The sequence below is a fragment of the Homo sapiens genome, chromosome 2, assembly GCF_000001405.40.
Source record: "Homo sapiens chromosome 2, GRCh38.p14 Primary Assembly".
NCBI classification, from domain to species: Eukaryota; Metazoa; Chordata; class Mammalia; order Primates; family Hominidae; genus Homo; species Homo sapiens.
The window spans coordinates 149,112,798-149,136,020 of record NC_000002.12 but is presented as its reverse complement, the minus strand read 5'-3'; the positions used below and the strand labels follow the sequence as shown (position 1 = coordinate 149,136,020).

Below are 23,223 nucleotides of genomic sequence, written 5' to 3'. Positions count from 1 at the left end.
CTCCAGAAAGCCATGGAAAGATATGAATTAGCAGGTAGCGATGACTATGATTAGGCATTCATGGGATACTCTGGGAACACAAAGAAAGAGTACCACTCCCAGCCTGGCATGGGGAGGGATGGCAGGGAGAATCAAGGAAAATGTCCCCTTAATGTGACATAAGGTATCAGCTCTGGTTCTTAATAAAGTATCTCTCATTGACTTCTGAGGCTTCTTAATTCTTTCTTTAAAAATATTTTAGACCTCCACAGAAATAGTTTGGAAAAAAACACACTTTTTTTTTTTTTTTTTTTTTTTTTTTGAGACATGGTCTCCCTCTGTTGCCCAGGCTGGAGTGCAGTGGCATGATCTTGGCTCACAGCAGGCTCCGCCTCCCAGGTTCAAGCGATTCTCCTGCCTCAGCCTCCTGAGTAGCTGGGATTACCGGTGCCTGCCACCACCCCTGGCTTATTTTTGTATTTTTAGTAGAGATGGGGTTTCACCATGTTGGCCAGGCTGGTCTCGAACTCCTGACCTCAGGTGATCCACCCGCCTTGGCCTTCCAAAGTGCTGGGGTTACAAGCGTGAGTCACCGTGCCTGGCCAAAAATACACATTTCTTTATTCATACATACACATATTTAAATATGCACACAAAGCTCATTAAACAATATCCTTTTAACCTAAAGGAATTCTCAAAACTTACAAAAAAAATAGTTTACAATTGACATTACAAAGGGACCCTGGGAAAATCAGACACAACTGCAAGTAATCTATTTTTTTTTTTTTTTTTAATTTGAGACAGAGTCTTGCTCTGTCACCCAGGCTGGAGAGCAGTGGAACAATCTTGGCTCACTACAACCTCCGTCTCCCGGGTTCAAGCAATTGTTGTGTCTCAGCCTCCTAAGTAGCTAGGATTACAGGCGTGCCTCACCACACCCGGCTAATTTTTGTATTTTTAGTAGAGATGGGGTTTCATCATGTCGGCCAGGCTGGTCTTGAACTCCTGACCTCAAGTGATCCACCTGCCTCAGCCTCCCAAAGTGCTGGGATTACAGGCATAAGCCACTGTGCCCGGCCCTACAAATAATCTTCAAAGAGTTGATGGTTGCTTTAAATATTTCCCATGATTCTAAGATAACTTTGGTTTTAAAATATTATTTTATGAATATAGCATGCTCTTAACCTTGCATGCCTCGCTACTCTTTGTTCCAGCACACCAGTTCCAAAGATCTTGATCAAGTAGCCCTGGGCTGGTAGACAGTGATTGACAACCCAGATTGACTACGTGGTCTCAGGATGGATCCTGGCTTGCTTCCAAATTTGGCTAATGCAAAGCTCTTGCATTCCTTTGCCTCCTCCCATACCAACTTTTCCCTCTGCCACATCATATACTGTGAGAGAATGGGGTTGTTGGCATAACTTCAAGTTATATCATTGATTCAAATCTATCTTAAGCAAACCTACTTTTATTTCAGATGAATACTCTCTAGCGATCTGAATTGCAGGGGCAGTAAAACAACTCTACATTTATATAAGCATTCCCATCCCCCAAGGAATAGTTTTCCAGGCCTACAGATACCTTAGAAGCGATAAAGAGTTTAGTAGGCTGGAGTCTTTTCTGTGGCTTTCTAAAAAATCAGAATTCCATGTAATCGAAATATAATGAATTTGGTGCTTGACAACAACAACAACTGCTTTAATAAAGTACAATCTAGGCATAATTCTATAGCAGCCACCTCATAAAACTATGGTTAAAATGAGAATAGCCAACTTGTAAATCAGAAGCAGCCAAGGTAGTAAGATGTGACTGCAGAGAAGAGCATAGGGATAAGCTGACTCCATCCCACTAAGCCCTCTGCCTGATCCTTCTCCAGCTCAAGTACATGGGGCTCTCTCTCTCTCCTTTCTTCAGGTCTCCGCTGTACGTCCCCTTCTCAGAACGACACTTCATAAAATAATACCGCCAGCATTCCCCAGCCCCCTTCCCTGCTGGCTTGCTTTGCTTACTCTTCCTTCCTTCTTCCTAACCTTCCTTCCTTCATTTATTTGTTTTCGCATAGCACTTGCCACCACTAGAAATATATTGCTTGTTGGTCTTTCCTCTCCCCTCAATATAACATATCCCCAGAGAACAGGAACCATGGCTTGTTCACTGCTGTAACTACAGCATCTGGCACCAAGAAGGCATTCAATAAATATTTGCTAAATGGATTTTCTTTATTTCACTCTTTTAGCTCACACACATTCTCCTGTGTATCTCCATACTGACACTGAAGTACACTGAATGAAGGTAGAAAGAACATTCTCTCACCTTCCCTTCTCCCTGATTCTAGCAGAGAAAAGCACTCTACAAAAAGTCAAAGCCAACTGAAGCAAGTGCCAAGAAGTTCTGCTAATCTTGCAGTAATACATCTAGGATTATACCTTACAAGCCGACATGTGAATGTATTTCGACTTAGTGGTTCTGATACTCTTGAAAGATGCCCAGCTCTTCATGGTTCCCAAGACTGTTCTCTAAGATATTCCCAAAGGGAGGAGAAATCAATACCAATGCCTAGTTGTGATCTTGAAGTGAAACAGATTTACTCTGGCTACACTGCCTCCCTTTCCAGCACCTAAAGTCAAAGGACAGGGAGGAAGGAAAGGTACTAAGATCCACTAATTATCAATGAAACTATACTAATGAATATATTGTTTTATTGATAACCACTGGGTCTTAGTAACTTTCCTGGGTCTTAGTATCTCATTAAACTAACCACAGAGGCTTAGTACTTTTCCTGGGTCTTAGTACCTCATTAAACTGACCACAGAGCCTTAGTACCTTTCCTGGGTTTTAGTACCTCATTAAACTGACTACAGAGGCCCAGTTTCCCAAGACTACTTTGCAGTTTAGAATCGCTCTAGCCAAAGACATTCAATTTCCTGAATATGAGTCTGTGGGACCCTTTAAATCTTAAGTCTGGCTAAAGAGGAAGCAACCCAGATGCACATAGAAATGAGAGGCTGTGGGCCACATAATTCACTGGAGATCTAGAACCTAGTAAAAACAAAACTCTGAAATATAATTAAATAAGTACTACAGTTCCTGATCCATAATTGTTCTTGGTCTGTTGCTACAATGAAATGCACCATAGAAAAAAATTTTTAAATAAGTAAATAAATAATAGCATCAGTTCTCAGAAACTGAGGGCTTTGGACAGACTTTGAAACAATCTAAGTCTCAGAATTCTGTGTTGGTGCTTGCTACCAAAGTGTTCTACTAAACTGCCTGCCAAGCAGCAATGAAGCAGAGCCCTAGCAATTCATTCAACAAGCTACCAAGAGTGGAAAGCTAATTTAATGGGGCAGGGCCAAGCACAGTTAACAAACTGCACATCTGTAAAATGGAAATAAGTTGTCCCCAGTCTTTAGCAGTACATCTCCTTGCTAAGTAGCACTAAAAAGGCTTCAAAGCCTTTCTCCTTCTCGGTGTGTAGCTGCCAATGAGTTCATTTCACTTCCATCTGCAGAAAAGGAGAGGGAGCCAAAATGTTGGGCTTTGGCCCCACACCCACTAGAGCTGCCAGAGATTGAGAAATCGAGCTGCATCTAACCCCTTTCCTAGAGAAAGGGCCTAAGCAATCATGTTCCACTTGTCATTAACCTATGTACTTTTCTATGTCCCTTTCCTTTTGCCCAAACCGAAACCAAATCATGGTACATGAAAGGTGAGTCCATTTCTACATGAACCCTTTGTAAATCTGTCCCAGGCTCCCTGGGTTCCATCTAGAATGCTGCTTCTATTTGTTGCACACAGGGAATCTGGCATGGCCCTGGAAAATTTACATTTTCAAAACCTCAAAAAAATAAACTTCATTCTAGGCACGGCTCTTCTTTAAGCATTCAATGAAATAAATTCTGTCTGCCCTATTTCATTTGATTCTATGCAACCAGCCCTGACTTGCCTATGAGTGTTTCTTTTAAAAAAGGGAGCATGGACCCAGGATGCATGGCTTTGCTCAGCCCCATACTGTGTTAGCTTTGGCATGTCTTTTCCCCTCTCCCGGTCTCAGTTTCTCCATAAATAAAGCACAAATGACAAGACTAAAATGATCACCTGAGAGTGCTGTCTAAGATTCTGTGGTTCTGTGGACTTTTCTAAGATGCTTCTCTCTTTGACAGAAGTATTTTCATCATCAATTCTTTCTAGCCTCTCATTCTGTTTTAGCTCCCAAAGACTTTGCTGGTCAGATGTCCTTTGCTTTATGTTTGGAAATTTTCATTGTGACTCTTCAAGTCAGTCACACAAGAGACTGACTTAAGATCCAGGAAGGGATCTGACAGCTTTTCCATCCTTTGATCATTAAACTTAGGGAGGAGAGAAGTGGTGCTGACCAACCACACAGGTCCACGTATATACTTTCTTTTGGGATTCTGAAGATGGGCCCTTTCTTACAAATAAATTATTGTGCAGGAGGCTTGCAGCTCTAAAGTAATTAGTGGCCTATATCACCTTCCCAAGACAATTCTCTCTTTCCTCTTTCCCTCCTCTTTTTCTTTCTCATATTTCCTCGCTCTTTCTCTCTTTCTTTCCTTTTTTTCCTTCCCTCCTTTTCATCCCTTGTCTTTTTACTTGGTCCTGCCAGTACAACTAAGGAGGTTATTTAGACCTATTGGCAATCCATAGGAAAATAAAATAATCAAAAAATTGCTGCTTATCTTCAGTGAACAGAACCACAAGATTAGGACTCAAAGCCATCTGAAGCACTTTCATGCTGGCAACCTTAAGGAACCTATAACATAAAAGCATACAAGATGAAATGAATCCACAATTGCAAATTAAGATCAGCAGCTACCTTTACATCAAAACATTCTGAGACACAGCTTTGTGTCAAAAGTTCTTTCATAAAAAGTCAATATGATTAGGGGAAGATACTGAAACCACATTATTTAACCAATGAACAAGCAGCATAATCCCTGAGATTAATGAAACTCCAGATCACAAATGTTTAATATATTTTTGCGAAGCATGAGTAGCTCATGTGGTAAGCATTTATAGTTAAATAAAAATATCTTCTCTACATCCACTTGTGAATATAATACTCACAACATCCATGTGATTAACAAGAGCAGCCTAGTCCAGGAGGGTTGCCAACAGCAGGCAGAAGTGTGGCATATCTAAACAAATGAACATGAAAAGGTATCATTATGACTGATATTATAGACATTTGGGATAAAGGGATTTTAAGTAAGTAGGGGGTTTTAGGCTGGGGACACATCATAAAGAGATCCTTAGGCTCAATAACCTTTCCTAACCACAAACCAGGTACAAGAAAGACCAGATTTTGTACAGTGGCCTCTTGTCCTTGGGTAGAAAGATTTGGCAGGACATAGATGGAATGGATACACATTTTTAGTGTCTGCAAGAATTAGGAAGGAGAATGCAGTCAACACTCCTTTCCCCAGTCACAGAAAATCACTTAATCCAGCTCTGCTGTAAGTTAGTGGGACAAGGCCTAATACCCTCTTTTAGATGCAGAAGTTTTTGGTTGTGAACATGCATCTTCAACTTTACCTCCAGGTATAAAACAGAATTTGTCAGGTACCTAAGATAAAAAACTAGCTTTTGCCCCTCCTGGATTAATTACTCCATGGATGTGTGCCTAAATAAAGACTCATTATGATATGGCTATAGGACCCAAGCCAAACCACTCTGTCCAAATTAAACTAGCGACTTCTCTTCTCCTCCCCTTCAAAAGGCATTTAAAGAGCTTTTTCCCCTAGAATAATAAAAACGTCATACATCTGGAAATTTGCCATTTTAAGAGCAAAGGCTGGGGGACAGATCAGTAGATTGGCACAAACTGTCCTCAGCAACAGCCTCATGGGGGAACAAATCTTCCTTCTGTGCCCTGATGAATCCAAGGCTCAGAAAATCACAGAGACTTAAGAGTTGGAGGGAGAAAAGCTGCCGTTCAGCGTTCTGGTCAAGTTGGCCTCTTAGGGGCCTACCAGAAAGAGGCGGGTGTACCCACTTAACTGGAGCACAAAGCCTGCAGTACCCAGGCTCCTGGACGAAAGGTGAGGACCTGGGATGAAGTGGAAGCAGAAGTCCAGGCACCTGCGTATATACCTCCTCCTTCTTCCTTCCCAGACACCACGCCTTGTTGGCAGGTCCCAGGCTGACCTCCATTCAACAGCCAATACTTACAGAGTTTCTATCTTGCACCAGGCATTGAATTAGAAATGAACAATACAAAGATGAGTTACACAGGCTCTCTGCTCTGCCTACAAAGCCCCATCAAGAAGTCTGCATAAAGTCCACCATAAGTCTTACCTACCTCATCTTAGCACCAGCAGCTGGGAATGCTGCATACACCACAGGAAAAGCATTATAACTCTAAATAGCACTTAGAACTCCTCACCACTTCCTCCAAGGAGATACAGTTGGCTAGTACACAACTGAGGCTGCATTCCGTTGACTTAAAGATTATCTCCAGTTATAAACCACGAGGAGGAAATCCACAAAGCTTATTAGTCATTTATACTTCAGCAGGAAGGAGTTCACTGCATCCATCCCAAAGATGAGATTTTCAGATAGAGAGTTTGAGGAGGGGTTCCCTAAAGTATGGGTTGGGACACATATTCAGAGGTTAGCCTAGGCCTGGCATTTGTCCAAAGTGTTTTAGGCCACACTCTCAAGAAACATCCTGCTTCCTATATTTTGTAAATTCCCAAGCTTGTCGAAATCATTTATACCCTAAGTAACTTCACCCGCTATAGCTCTTAAATTTATTTGTTTTCTTATTAGCATCTTAAAAGTCTATAGGAGATGACTTTCTCAAGAACTGTCCTAAACATATGGATTTTGGTCATTCTTCCCTTGCATGTCCCTGGCAGATAACCAGCAGAGGACCTTTTTCTGTTTAAAGGATGTGCCATATATGCTGAGTTTTAGGAAGCATGCAAGCAACCCCACAAATCTCACATGCCCTTTGTTATTCACCCATTCAACATTGTATTTCAAGCAATCACGGGTTACTCATCATTTTTCATCAGAAAAGAGATGAGGTTCCCCAGGTAAAGTCTCCTTTTCTCTCATTTGTGAAGTTAGGGCAGATGGCCTACATAATTCTCATCAGATTTTCTTATGGTTACAACCAAGGGGATCAGAACACTAGGCAAGATAAAAAATAGAGCAGTCTCTCAAAAGCAAAGAAAAAGTAGGTGATATGTTCTTTACTGGTATTCCTTATGCATCTGAGCAATGAACAGATGCATAACATTCTACAATGCATCCTGTTGCTATTTTGTTGATACAAAGGCTCTGTAATTTCCCTAAGAAATTTTGACTTGTTTTGTAAGGTTATTTTTTGAGAGATAAAATTTAGGAAATGTTCACATTCAAAGACCCTCTTACCACCATTCATTAGGAAATGCTTAGTGCCTTACACATTTCTTTCAATAGTCTCTATCCAGGTGAGACAAAAACACTAAAGACTGTCTTGATTAACACCAAATAAAACCCAGTTCTATCTCCAACTTCCATCCTTGTGAGACTCTCTCATCTAATTACAGTAACTGCTCAACAGTAATGTGGAACAAATGCAGTGCCAATGATTAGAACTAGAACAAGGAAGCAGTTTTCAGAAAGTATCCCTAAAGTCCATGATTTGGATCTATAATTTGAACCAAATAACCTGCTCTACTAATTAAAGACTGACCTGTCAGGAGATTTAAAATGCTATTTGATGGAACATCCCTAAATGCCATTTCCAGGTCTCTGTCAAACCATCTAGAAAATGCAATTCAATTCCAGTAAAGTTTGTTACATGACAGATGTGACTAGGTACAAAAAGAAATATTAGACTCAAGCTTGATTTTCAAGAAGCAAATGATGGCAACATCATTTCCAAGAAGAAAAAACAAAAAGATTTTAGAAGCAATAGGTTATGTTTTTTCTTTTAAGAAATCATGTAAATGATATATGTTAGCTGAAAACATCTTTTAAACGAGTTGAATAACCAAATATGGGGTCTAATTTGTTTCTTTTTTAAAAAAAAAAATCATCATTTACCTATGCAGTACTATATTTTGAAGACACATCTCTGGCCAATGACCTCAAGGTGATCAGTCCAACAAAAAAGATTAATAGGTAGAATGTGAAATTGTGCTGGGTATTAGGGCACCATTATACCCCATAAACCAAGAGTAGAGTAGTTCCAGGTCTCATTTGACACTTAGGCCCAAGTTAGCTGTAACTGAAAGGAGACAAGGAACTGGGGGTATTCTATAAGAGATCCATTTTTCTGCTCCTAGCACATATTCTGCAAGGTCTTCCTGCTACAGTATAACAGGATCCTGGGGAAATACAACAATCTTATAATGCATTTATGACCACCAAAAAATTAAAGAAAATGTCCCAAGAAAGTACATAGATACACACATGCATACATATATACAAGGAAGAGGGGAGGAAAGGAAGGAAATATAAAATCAAAATAGTAAGTGGAAAGCACACACAGAAGTCAGGGTAGCCCTGGGAGCAGGTGCTGCTAAGTCCTCTGGAACCAGAGACTGAGCGCTGGGACCCTCCCATGGTGGGGCAGCTGAACCCGAGACTTGGGCAATAAGTCAAGATCCTTAAAGGTTACTAATGCAGTCCCAGATCAGTCCTGATCCCAAGTTCCAGGACACAAGAAATTTCAATCTTCTCTGGAGGAAAGTTCTCAGTTTGAGCCCTCGATACTGTTAAATTTTATCAAATATAAGCTCACACAAATAATTTCTCAAAACATAAGAAAACAAAACAATGTAAATGAGAGTGAGCATAAATGATAAACAACAGAATTACACCCTCAATTACCAAATATCCAGTATTCTCAGACATAGAATATTACTATATATAAAATATTTCATATAATAAAATATGAAATATTAAAATGAACAAACAAAAAGAGACTTTAAGAAAATGACCAGAAAGATTTGCAAACTAGCCATAGAGAATTACAAAACAACAACAGTATAAAATCATTAAAACTGAAAACTCAATGGACGGATTAAACCACAGATTTATATAGCTGAATAGAGAATTACTGACCTGACAAAGCTTATGAAAAAAAAAAAAATGACCAGAAGGCAGTACAGAGAGAAAGATAAAGATATGGAAATTATTAAAAGGGTATTAAGAGGCATGAAGCACAGAAGAAAAAGGTTGAACACAAGTCTAATGGACGTCCTAGAAGGAGAGAATAGAGAATGGAGGAGAGGTAATTTTGTGACACAATGGCCAGGGTTTCTCTAGAACTGGTGATAGACACCAATCCAAAGATGCAGAGACACCCTATATCCCAGGCAGAAGAAATCAAAAGCATGGTTGACCCTTGAACGACACAGGTTTGAACTGTGTGGATACACTTATACATGGATTTTCTTCTGCCTCTCCCACCCTTGAGATGCAAGACCCACCCCTCCTCTTTCTTTTCCTCCTCAGCTGACTCAATGTAAAGATGACAAGGATGAGGACCTTTATCCGTACTTTTCACTTTATCAATGGTAAATATATTTTCTCTTCCTTATGATTTTTGTAATAGCATTTTCTTTTCTCTGGCTCACCTTATTGTAAGAATACAACATATAATACATATAACATACAAAATAAGTATGCATTGACTGTTTATTGGTAAGGCTTCTGGCCAACAGTAGGCTATTAAGTAGTTAAGTTTTGGGGGAGTTAGAAATCATACATGGATTTTCAACCATGCAGAGGGGTCAGCACCCCTAAGCCCACCATTGTCCGAGAGTCAACTATATTCCACATCTAGAGACACTGAAATGATACTACAGAATACCAAAAGCAACCACAATATTATGAAGGCAGCCAGAAAAGAGGTCAGCAATTAGACTGACAGCTAATTTCTCAGCAGCCACACTGAAGTCAGAAGATAGTAGTTATCTTCTTTTCATTTTCACTTGCATTTGTTTAATTATGAAGAGTTTAAGCATCTCTTCTCAAGTTCAAGGGTCAGTTGTACTTATTTACTTATAAACTGACAGTAGTTATCTTCAAAGTGGTAGGAGAAAATAAGTCTTAACTAGAACACCCAATGAGGAAATTTTTTAAGAATGAGAAAGAAATATATTTTCTTATACACAAAAACAGAGGAGTTTACTATCAACAAAACTTCAAAAGAATATCTAAAGACCTTACTTTAGGAAGGAGGAGATAAGGAATGTCAAGGATTAGAAAAGTTGGTATATAGGTAGGTAATCTTAAATGAGTATTTTTAAAACGTCTCTGTAAAACAAAAAATATTTACACTGTGATGGTAAAAGGAGTCAGAACTAAAATATCAGGCAACAATAGCATATAATTCAAGAGAGAGTGATTGGAGTTAAGGTACTCGAAGATGCCTGAGTTCTTTGGAAATGGGGTTAGGATACCAACTTTATTCACAGTGGGAGAAAGTGGTATCATAGACCTAATCCACCAAGACCTCAAGCCAGGACTTCCTCACCACTTTCCCTCCTAACCTAATCCACTCCAGCCAAGCCTGTCCTCCACATTTGTGATGGGGGAGAGGTTGACTTGTTTCCTGACAGAATTAAATTCTCCAGAGAATTCCATGGCCCCTGGAGGCAGGGTGGCTTCCCTGGGTGGAAGAGGGGCTTAGAGCAAAGAAAAACCCTCCAGGAAGAGGAAAGAGTGTTTTGGCAGCTTAAACTTTCAGCTGTGTCTAGAGAGTAATCTACTTATCCTAACTTGCAGGCCAGGTGTGGCTTTGTTTGTGAAGGGCTTTGTCGGGGCCAGGCGTTGTTTGACTTTGGCAAACAGGGTTGGAGATTAGTGATTTGTGACGTTACAGCACTGACTGGGAGGTAAGATGTGTTTGAGTTCCTGGGTTTTACCAATCCAGAGGTTTGGGATGGCGGAAATGAGGCAACATGAAAAGTTTCTGTTTGACTGGGAGAACCCAATTTCCTCCTGGAATTTTTCTGCTAGATGCAGTCTGACCACATCGATCCACACCAACTTGCTTCTTAGAAAATAATAAATCACAGAAAGATCATCCTTCAAAGGCTTCTTTGTAACCTGGTTGCTGAGCCTGGGTCTACCTGAATGTTGGGCTGTAGGAAAATGACCTACAGAAGCTTCTTGTGGCCATTTCTTCATCACATTCCCTGATAACTTGGACAGTGGGGTTGGTACAGGGAGCGGGAGGTGGGAAAAGAGTTGGGGATGAGCAACACTGCAATTGGAACCTAACTTGTAGAATTCGGGCTCCTTTTTACGTAATCCTAAAGCAAGCAAGTAGAAAGGTCTGTTGGCCGGGGAAAAAAAATGCATAACACATTTAAGTGCCAGTTCCAAATTATTTATGAACTATCTAATATTTTCATGGGCTCTATTTCTGATGAACTCCATTAGAGGGATTAGTGAGCAGTGGCAATAACGGCTAATAGTTGCCCGGCTAATGCAACTTCAGGACTGTTAGAAGTGATGCTACTCTCGTGGGTTGCTGAGGACAACCCTAGTTGAGAATGCTGAGCTACTCCAGCATGCACACCTGTTCGTTGTATCGTGTGATGCCCACTTAACATCACGGGTTTCAGAACCCCTGCCAAAAAAACAGACCACGCACTTATCACTAAACACACCTTTACGTGGGTTTTCCACATGCACATAATTGCCCTGAGCATTGATAACAATTATCTGCTATATGCAAAGAGGAGATAATGTTCTCTGCCCAGTGGAACAACCGTCATTGATAATTACAAGGTAGTTGGTCTCGGCCCCAGAAAGGACTATATATTGGCATCCCCCAAGAAGTGTTGTATTTATAAGCCATATTCTTGGAGGGGTTAGTGCAGTGAGGAATTAAAAGGACAAGACATTCTTTAATATTTTCAACAAAGGGAATTAGTACTTCAGAAAATGAGTGAGTAAATATCTATGAGAGTTCAGTATGCTGTTTGGTTACAGTAAAAATAGGAAGAATGGCCCTTGGATTCCACAGGAGTGGGTCCTTAACTAGAAAAGCATACAGCAAAGGAGCCCGGGGGGCCTTCCTGGATAACATCAGGTGAGTATTACATTTCCTAAATATGTGCTGCTAAATCATCCAAAACTTCACGAATTCTTGCGGTGAAGAACTGTGGTCTTTTACAGCATTTTTAAATTATTATTTATGTATGTATTTAGAGACGAAGTCTCTCTCTGTCGGCCAGGCTGGAGTGCAGTGGCGCAATCTCAGCTCACTGCAACCTCTGCCTCCTGGGTTCAAGCGATTCTCCTGCCTCAGCCTCCCGAGTGAGTAGCTGGGGGTGCGTGCCACCATGCCCGGTTAATTTTTGTATTTTTAGTAGGGACAGGGTTTCACCATGTTGGCCAGGATGGTCTCGATCTCTTGACCTCGTGATCTGCCTGCCTCGGCCTCCCAAAGTGCTGGGATCACAGGCGTGTACAGCATTTTTAAATTGTTCTTTTCTTCCTCCCTCCCTTCTCTTTTCTTTCCTTTTCTCATGAAGAGGACACAAAGGCCAAAATTATCAGTTCAGTGCCCTTTCCTCCGCGTAGTAATTGTCCAACTTTAGTTACGTACAGATCTTTTTTTAAAGATCTTCCCTTGAATTCCCATAATGTTAACTCTAATTATCATTATTAGGGTGTTACTTAGAAAACAATCAACATAAAACCAGGCCCAAAATCCTTAGACATACTACCCTTCATCTACCAACACCACAGAACATGCATAAATAAATACAACCAAAACCATAAAGCCAATAGCATTCAAGTTAAGTTAAAAGGATTAATTTAACATGCTGAATGATGTTCTGCTGAAACCACACTGCTGCCCAAATGAGGAGCTGTATGGTACTGATCACTGTGGCATGGATTCTCTGGAGCTCAGCAAGCATTTACTCCTGTTCCATGTGATGACTGAATCCTCCTGCCACCTTCCCTTCTGGAACTACTGTGAAACCTTTCTTCATCAGCCTTCTGTGTGGGCATTTGCTCTTTGAATGTAAACAGTGCTCTGGGATCAAACTAAATCTACCGTGATTTTTTCTTAAGAACACTCCACATTGAAAGTGGTCCTGCTTGACACTAATTTGAACACAAACCTAATGTAGATGCAGACACGGAAACCATGTCACAGTACTCAGTTATAAGGTAGTCATCCAAATGATCCAGAATATGCCTATCTTAAATTTTTATTGCCATCCAAATAAAAGCAACATGTGAAAATCTGTATAGAGGACTCACAAATCCCCAAAGTCCATAAATGTTCAGAGGCCCTCAGCCCCCAAAGTGAGAAACCGCCCTGTGGAATGCTGTCTGGTGACCATGTGGTTACACAGACAAGCTGCCCTGAGTATGTACTGAAATGAGAAACATGCTCTCACTCACAGGTGGGAATTGAACAATGAGAACACTTGGACACAGGGTGGGGGACATCACACACCAGGGCCTGTCATGGGGTGGGGGGAGGGGGGAGGGATAGCATTAGGAGGAATAACTAATGTAAATGACGAGTTAATGGGTGCAGCACACCAACATGGAACATGTATACATATGTACCAAACCTGCACATTGTGCACATGTACCCTAGAACTTAAAGTATAATAAAAAAAAAGAAAAAGAAAAAATAATAATTTTTAAAAAAAAGAAAAAAAGAAATGAGAAACATGCCTCCATCAAAACCTGGAGGGGTGGGGTTAGGAGCTGGAGCAGAACTGAAACAGCTATTATAAAGAATAAAATCAGAGCTAACACAAGATGACTAGAAAGATGGCCACAGAGCAAGCACAGCACCCACAGACTTGTGACACGATCTCGGCAGTGCTGAGTGCTCTTTCGGGAGCTCCCAGCTCTCCCACTGTGACCCAGTTTTCATGGTAAAATGGATGCAATATTTAAGGCCTTTCTGGACTGCAGTCCAGAGGGGTGTGAAATATGAACCATGCTTGAGATTCCACTAAATGGGTCCCTAGTGCTGCTACTGAAACAAACTTCCACAATTATGGTGATAGTTTGTTTTGGTCTGTTTCTTTCTCGTTTGGGGTTTTTCCATTTGCCCCTTCACCTCCACCAGCACTGGATCCATTATTGGCCTTGCTCTGTGCTCCAGGAGGGTGACTCCTGAAGGCAGCACCACCCAGGGTCCTGTGCCAGGTGACTTTTGGTTGGGTTCTGTCAGTGGGAGGCACTAGCATGAGACTGGAGGGAGAGAGGAACAGGAGGTTGAGGTGTTCCCTCCAATCCTTGGGTGCTTCACTGCAGCATCTCTGGTGAAAGCTGTGTCCTTCCACAGCCCTGGCCCCGGCAGGTCCTGCTTCTCTGTGGCTGCAGCTCTAAGTGCTCATGGAACATTACTTCCTTCTACCACCCCTTCAGCCCAGGACTGGCTATGAGCCCTCATGAAACACTATGTTCCTCTCTCATCCCTTCAGCCCAGAGCTGGACATGACTTTCCACTGTTGGAGTCCCTTGTTTGCTCTTTAACCCTGCACACACTTCTGTGACTATAGCCCTTCATGACATCCTCTTCATTTGAACCAATGGGGTGAATTCTGTGTTCTGCTGGGACTGCAACAATCATCAGATTTGGTCAGTCAAATCAGCTCTATGTGAACTCCTAAATGCAGATTAGAGTTTTGAAAATTAATCACATAAAAAAGTAGAAAAAGCACTCACCATCCCTCAGGGAAGCAAACCCATTAAGATGAATTGCATAAAAAACAAAAGCGAACTGGACCCTCTAAATCCACTCTTGAAAAAATTTAGCTTCAGAAAACAATACCTTAGGAAATAAAAAAGCTATCTTCATGAAGAAAACTAGTATCATGTCATCTACAGCAGAGGAAATTTTAGAAACAACCTATATGTCCAATGGGATGGGAATTGTTAAATTATGACATATCAACTTAATGAACTATGATGCCACCTTGAAATATCATTAAGACTTTGCCAGGCGGGGTCGCTCATACCTGTAATCGCAGCACTTTGGGAGGCTAAAGCAGGTGGATCACTTGAGGTTAGGAGTTTGAGACCAGCCTGGCCAACATGGTGAAACCCTGTCTCTACTGAAAATACAAAAATTAGCCAGGTATGGTGGTGCACACCTGTAGTCCCAGTTACTTGGGAAGCTGAGGCAGGCGGATCACCTGATCTTGGGAGGTAGAGGTTGCAATGAGCCGAGATCACGCCACTGCCCACTCCAGGCTGGGTGACAGAGCAAGACGCTGTCTCACAAAAAAAAAAAAAAAAAAAAAGACTTTGTAGCATAGTAGCAAAAAATGTTTATATTAATAATGATAAATAGAACACATATTTGGACGTGCATCAGAATTTTAATTATGTAAAAATATATATGCAGCCAGGCGCCGTGACTCATGCCTGTAATCCCAGCACTTTGGGAGGCTGAGGCGGGCGGATCATGAGGTCAGGAGATAGAGACCATCCTGGCTAACCCGGTGAAACCCCGTCTCTACTAAAAATACAAAAAAATTAGGCATGTGTGGTGGCGGGCGCCTGTAGTCCCAGCTACTTGGGAGGCTGAGGCAGGAGAATGGCATGAACCTGGGAGGCGAAGCTTGCAGTGAGCCGAGATCGCGCCACTGCACTCCAGCCTGGGAGATAGCAAGACTCCATCTCAAAAAAAAAAAAAAAAAAATATATATATATATATATATATACACACACACACATATATATATACACATATATATATACACATATATATACACATATATATATATGTGTATATACATGCATGTCCCTAAAAGTTAGATGACATTTCACAAAACTAAATCCTATATTGGAGAACTCAAAATTCTAAGTACTGTAAATTTCTCTTCTAAAATATCCTTAAAAATGAAACAAAAGAAATAAAACAAAGGACATAATATTCACAGACCACATGGCTATAGCTTGTGACAGCAGAGGTGCATTCTAGGAGCTCAGGGCTCCCCAAGACTATACCCTGCCTTCCAATCAATAAGTAGCCTTAAGCAGAACATTTAACTTCAGTCTCCATTCCTTTTCTCTGCAGTAGGATGGCTACTGACCCACTCACAATAATGTACATTTAATAAAGCTAACAGGAGTGCAAAATTTTTTTTTTTGCTTTCATCCACATGCCTCACTATACCTACTGTCTATATATGCTGGCTCTAGCTGGGACAATTTAAAATGAAAGCATTTCCTTAGACTATTTGTTGTTGTTCAGTGCTTGTGAGCTCTGTTTCAGAGATTGCACACTTTCACTAGGAAGCGGTAGGATGAACATCGCCATTTGGGGGCCTTCACTGGAGCTTTTAGAATATGTTTCATGCTCCTCCTTAAAGAGATCCTATCTAGCAGAGTGATAACAGATTGATGGCCATGACCTTCTTCACATTCTTCTAACTCCTTTTAAAATGAAATCAAAGCTCTTGCTGCTGGTGCCTACGGGCCCGGAGCCAAGGCAATGTAATGAAGGCTACATATCATCCCTCACCCTCAAGACCGTCAACTGAGTTCATCGTTAATGTGTTCACGTCACAAAGGTACATGTCAAAAGACAGGAAAATCCAAGAGAAATGTACTTTCCCCATTCCCAAGGTCTATTTTCTTTAAACAGTGGTTGTCAGAAAGACAATGTCTTCGTGTGGAAGACAATTATGATATCATATTGACATTACAACAAAACACATTTACAGACATAAAGCTTCTTACGCTTTAATTTTAAACTGATGGTTTGATATCTTTGTAAATTGTACATTTCAGCAGAGTTTTTTTAAACTAAAACATTTATTGGTCTAAAATACATATTAACTTGAAATATTGCCATTCCCATTTCATAGCCAAGTGATAATAATTTTCTTTAATTACACATTAACTCCAATGTATTACCTGGATAGGCAGTTATTGTTTTAACAGGGTCAAGATTAATGGGCAGGTGTTCCGCGATAATCTGAGTGAAAAGAAATAAAGGAATTATACATGATTCATTTTCTTACTTCTCTGAGCTGAATAATATTAAGAACACTGCCACCTTACATTTATAAAGCACTTTTCAGTTTCAGAGTATTTTTGTATCTGGGATTACATTTTCCTGCATTTTTTACCTTTGACAGATCCTTCCAGGTAATACACAACTCTACCGCTTTTCAACTTTCTGATGCCCAAACATTGTGTTTGTGTGTTTATATTAATGGGATACAGTGAGAGGCAGTAGATTAACCACAGCCTTTAGAAACAGACAGACCTGGGTTCAAATTTCAGCCCAACCATTCACTACATGATCTTGAATAAATTACTCCGAGAATCAGTTTTGTCATAGTTAAAATGGGGTCAGTGGAAGAGCTAAGTAACATATCACTTATGTAAAAGGTCTGAGACATATCTGGCACATAGCAAGCACTCAAGAAATAAAGTAGTTATTGCTGTTATTAGCAGCTATTTCTACTCTGTCTTGAACATTTTCTTGCCTCCCTCTGATTTGTTTTCTTCAAAATATTTGGATTCAGAGACAGATGGAGGATGCAGAAAATCAAGAACAATATTAGCCCCAAAAAGTGTACCAGAAGGAACTGCATCAAGGCAATCTCAAGTGTCCTCTGCCCTGAGAGCCTTACTCGAGCAAATAGTCTGCAAAAACTCATGCATTTTCTTTCTGCTTAACAGAATGTAAAGTTAACTGTGCTTTGTAAAAATCCAGTATTTATCAGTTGGCATTCCTGTATTCTCAGTTTAAAAGTATATATCAAACCCAAGAAAACATCTCAAATAAAAAGTGCTCTTTGGTTACCATGGTACCCAGCCTCGGTAGTGGTGGTCCCCAGAGACTGCACCCCCTGGTAGTCACAGCTATGTAGCCGCCCCAGCCCCAGCACACACACTGAAGCCTGGCTAGTCTCTTATGCAGCCAATAGAATGAGGTGGAAATGATGACTGGAACTTTGAGGCTGTCATAAAAGACATTGGAGTTTCTGTCTTGGTCTCTTGGATTACTTGCTCTGGGGAAAGCCAAGCACCACATCATGAGGACACTCAAAGAGATCCACATGGAGAAGGACCAATTTGCTAACACCAACTGCCAGCTTAGAAATAAATCCTCCAGCCTTCAGATGACCACAGCCCTAGCCTAGACGTGACTACAACCTGGTGAGAGACCCTAATCCAGAACTGCCCAGCCAAGCCACTTCTGAATTCCTGAATTCAGAGAAACCATGAAAGATAATAAATGATTATTGGTGCTTTACAACACTAAATTTTGGAGTACTTTGTTACATAGCAATAGATGATTATTATAATAACAAGGATAATTTGGCAAGACTAAATTGGAACAACTTGACCCCTCACCATATAGCTACATAACCCAAAGAACATGGACAAAAATGACAGATGAGCAACAAGGTCCTGCTATACAAAGGAAAGTGGCCTTAATATACAGACCAGGTACATATATTAAGCATAACCACTTCACACATTGACAAATCCCCAAAATGCCACACTAATTCCAAAAGCCTTAACCCAGCACTTTGGGAGGCTAAGGTGGACTGATCACTTGAGATCCAGAGTTTGAGACCAGCCTGACTAACATGGCGAAACCCCATCTCTACTAAAAATATAAAAATTAGCTAGGCATGGTGGTGCTCGCCTGTAGCCCCAGCTACTCAGGGGGCTGAGGCACGAGAATCACTTGAACCCGGGAGGCAGAGATATCAGTGAGCCAAGATCAAACCACTTCACTCTTGCCTGAGCGACAGAGGGAGACTCAAAAAGTCTCAAAAAAAAAAAAAGATGAATGACATATATGATTATATAAAAATGTACATTGTCTATGAAAAACTATAAATATAGTAAATATGTAGTATATTAAAAACTATAAAGTAAAAATCTAATAACAAATGAGGAAAATTATCAGCAATGTAGGATAGACTGAGGGTTACTACTCTCCATAAAAAAGAGAATGTATAAATCAATAAAAGGAAATCACTCAATAATAAAACAGCAGACAAGACTGAGAGATTCAAATAAACAAGAAGGGGCCCAAAGACTGAGCTCTAGGGCACTAGAGTATTTAGATATTAGGAAGACGGGGATTCTGCAAAGGAGACCAAGCAGTGGCTACTAGGATAGGGGGGAAACTAGAAGCTTCTGATGTCCAGGAAGCCAAGGATCAAAGAGTTTTGAGAAAGAGAGAGTGGTGAAAAGCTCCAAACCCTGTTTACAAGGTCAAGGAAGATGAGAACTAAACATTTATTAGATTTTGCCACATGAAATCACTGGTAGCAGCCACATCTCATCCAATTTCTCTTCCTATTGTCAACAAATGTTTGCTGAGTGCCCATTATATGTCAGGCACAGTACTTCTTGAATTTAGCTTCCATCCTTTTATGTTGTAACTGCCAACATGTCATAACTGCTAATACAGTTCCTTCCTTCAGGTTACTTCCAGGACACGAGAGATTCTTGGGTGTGGGGGGATGAGAAAAGGGTCAAAGTGGTCAGATTCAAATCGAATAGGTGTCAGAAAATGGCACAACAGCAAATTAGTAGTAAATATTAGCAGAGGGTTAGGAGATATCTCACTAATAATCACAATTAACAATTTTAAGAATTCTTTATACCTACAGCAGTATGGTTAAGCTAGGTTCTGCTGCCATAACAACCCCTCAATCTCAGTGATCTGACACAGTACAGTAGATCTCCCCTCTCTTTGTCAGAGACATTCCAAGATGCTCACTGGATGCCTGGAACTGCAGATAGTACCAAACCCTACATATACTATGTTTTGTCCTATAGATACATACCTATGATAAAGTTTAATTTAGAAATTAGGCACAATAAAATATTTAAAGCAATAATTAAATAGAACAAGTATAACAATACACTGTAATAAAAGTTATGTGAATATGGGCTCTCTCAAAATATCTTATTGTACTATACTCAACTTTCTTGTGATGATGTGAGATGATAAAATGCCTACATGATGAGATGGAATGAGGTAAATGACATAGGCTTTGTGACATAATGTTAGGCTACTGTTAACTTGAACACAAGCACTGCAATACGGTCTCAGTAGATCTGATAACCAAGATGCCTACAGGCAGGTCGCATATAAAGCATGTACAAAAGCTGAACAAAGAAATGACTCGTGACAGTGAGAGGTTGTGTCACACTATTCAGAACTGCCTACAATTTAACATTTATAAATTGTTTATTTCTGGAATTTTCCATTTAATATTTTCAGACTGAGGCTGACCGTAGGTAATCGAAACCTTGGAAAGTGAAACCATGGATAAGAGGAGACTGATATATTGGTCTATTTCTTGCTTCCTCAAAGCCTACGGTGGGTCTAGTCACCTCTTCTGGATAAATATCTTCCATGTGTTATCTTAGCTTCCAGATAGTTCTAAACTGTGAAACATTCCCAACTCTAAACATTTCCACAATCACCACAGCAGAGGAAGAGAGTCCTAACAGGTCTCACATAAGCAATTAAGTGATCTGGCTCAAAAGTGGCTCATGTTCAAGCACAACTCGATGGCCAGCAAGAATCATAAGACCTGTTCAATTGCAAGGGGAATCAGGAAGAGGAATCTTCCCATTAAGATAAACCAGACATGGGTGAGCATTCTAAGTTTCTACTATAATCAGGATTCTAGTTTTTCAAAGGATCTGACATCTAATTATCCATTTGACCATGAAAACATTCCAATAAGGTAGATAGAAAACTGCTTAGAATTTCCATTTACAGATGTGGCAATTGAAGCATCAAAAGTTTAAACAACTTATCTAATTAGTGGTAATATTTATTTAAATCACTGTAGGCTGGGCATGGTGGCTCACACCTGTAATCCCAGCACTTTGGGAGGCCGAGGCGAGAGGATCACTTGAGGTCAGGAGTTCAAGACCAGCCTGGCCAACATGGTGAAACCCCATCTCTACTAAAAAGACAAAAATTAGCTGGATGTAGTGGCGAGCGCCTGTAATCCCAGACGCTTGGGAGGCTGAGGCAGGAGAATCAATTGAACCTGGAGGCAGAGGCTGCAGTGAGCCGAGACCATGCCACTGCACTCCAGCCTGGGCAACAGAGCGAGACTCCATCTCAAAATAATAATAATAATTTAAATCACTATAGTGAGGATTGCCTTCCAGCTTTATGAGCTTTCTTTCCACAAGTCCATGTTGACATTAACTAGGGGGAAAATGAGGATCACTGATATCTGTAGTCATTATGGTATATCTAAAATATCACATAATAGAATATTACATGATTTTCTAAGAACATTAGACAAAGAAGACCCTTTGAAATAGCTAGAATTAGTCCTTTCAGACATAGTCTTGGCAATGACTGGTTGACGTTAAAATGAAAGCCAGAAAGGCTTAGGATGGAAGAACGCTTGGGTTTTCCTAAGAACACTTGAATCTCCTGTCTCTGCATCTATCACTAAAGATTAGCCCTTAGAACAGTAGTGTGTGAACCCCCTTCATGTTAACACTGAACTTCAAATTTCAACATTTCCAACAGTTTTAATTTGGAGGCTGCTGACAGCCCAGCTCTAATGGAAACCAGTCTTCATGACTTCTGTGTTAAGCCTTAAGGTACAATTTCCTTCTCTCAGATATGTGGGGTCTTGATATGGTTTTAGGGTAGCAGGGAAGAACTGCACTGGGGGTTTCCTTTATCATGAGTGATTTAATTCAGCAGCACAAAATGCTAACACTTTTCCAAAAGAAATGTATATCCTAGATTCCTAGGTCAAAATGAAATACCACTTGGCATTGAGATAAAAGCATTACTTATAATGATAAGACTTTTCTCCAAAGGTTGTGCACTCAGAAAAAGAGTTGAAAGAGTGATTAGCTATAAGCTCTTATTTTTTTTCAATTCTTAAATTCCATACTTGAATCCTTAATTTAGAGGCTGGTATGTGAGTAAAGTACCAAACAAGAGCCTCAACTAGTATCAGGTCAAGTCCTTGAAGTTCTGTCCACAGATTCCCTTCCCTTTGCTTTATTGAGCTTTCAGAGGGAAAGAGGAAGGAATGGAATGTCCAATGTCAAGATAAATGGCACATACCCAAATCTAACAGTTGTCAACCACCTAATATTCCATCTTAGAAATGGACAAGCGTTTTCAGTCCAAAACTCTACACCATCTTGTCAATACCTTACATAGCAAAGGCACTTAATGTAGTGAAGATAATTTCATCTCCTGAAAAGTAACCATGCAGTTCACTCCAGGAAGCCAACTGAACTCAGTTTTTGTGGTAGTCAGAAAAAGCCCTGCCCAGAGAGTGTGGAGAAGGTTCCAGATGAGTGTTCCAATTAAAACAGCATGAAATCTGGGTTTTATTCCCAGATTGATCAATTACTAGCAATTTCTAGATCTATTTTTTTAAAACCCACTAGAGACTATAGTGAGACTCAAATGGAACAGCATATACACATGAAAGCACCTTACATTTGCATAGTGCCTTACAGATTGCAATGTATTTCACTTAATATTGTTCCCCCTGGTATATATGAAGAGCCCAACGTTATACTGCCCACTTAGCCAGGACAGAAAACTTTGCAGTAGAGTCTCTTCCCATCTCAAATGCTATTTATCTTTCTTGACTTCATCTCAGAATTTTACATCTGAAAGTTGATCTTGATATCCTTCCATCCTTTTCCCCATCATAAAACACAAGTCTTTGAGCAAAACCATCCAAGAGCATTATTGAGTCCTTTGAAAACTTTTAAGCATTCCACATCCTTTAAGTAGGGGGATCACATACTTCAACCTCCAAACTAGGACACCTCTGAAAGTGAAAGGGAACTCTATAAATAATGACACAAAGACAATAGAAAAACTAAGACTTTACAAGCCAACCTCCTTACAAATCTAAAGGTCCATGCTGAGGTACAACTTAGGGAGCAGATGAAACCTTAAAGGATATCTATAAATAAAAACACATTTTCATTAATTTATTTTTCTGATGCATTCCATTTTCTCCACCTGATTTTGCCGATGGTAGGTACCATGTAAACTTTCATTCCTCTCCTACCATACCTTCTATCTGCCTTCTTCTCCTGTTCAACAAGTCAGTAAACTGGGCAGAAAAAATACATATCACCTGGTGTTTCTATTTAAAGGAACTCTTTGTTTATTTTGGCTTATTGTTTCTACAAACACAGAAACTATACTGAATGGAAAATAACCATCAGTTATATTCCCATCACCTAGAACCAAACACTGCTAACATTTCAGCAACAGTTGTCCCA

At 40.2% G+C, this 23,223-nt stretch overlaps 1 protein-coding gene across 29 annotated transcripts in view; it reads right to left on the bottom strand.

The window, feature by feature from the left end:
* The window catches only part of LYPD6B (LY6/PLAUR domain containing 6B), a 176,564-nt gene that overhangs the window by 79,242 nt on the left and 74,099 nt on the right, over positions 1-23,223 (bottom strand). For 11 of the 29 annotated variants that reach the window (XM_047443401.1, XM_047443408.1, XM_047443406.1 and 8 more), the window contains exons 1-3: positions 17,756-17,847; positions 16,858-16,918; positions 5,068-5,138 (exon numbers count right to left, since the gene is read on the bottom strand). The exons of 1 other annotated variant lie outside the window; for it this stretch is intronic. In XM_047443401.1, the coding sequence (XP_047299357.1) occupies positions 5,068-5,076 (9 nt within the window). In that variant the 5' untranslated portion in view covers positions 5,077-5,138; positions 16,858-16,918; positions 17,756-17,847. Of the gene's footprint in view, positions 1-5,067; positions 5,139-6,301; positions 6,324-16,857; positions 16,919-17,755; positions 17,848-23,223 lie in introns of those variants that run through there. 17 more of the 29 variants (XM_047443412.1, XM_017003366.2, XM_047443405.1 and 14 more) reach the window with 3 other exon arrangements.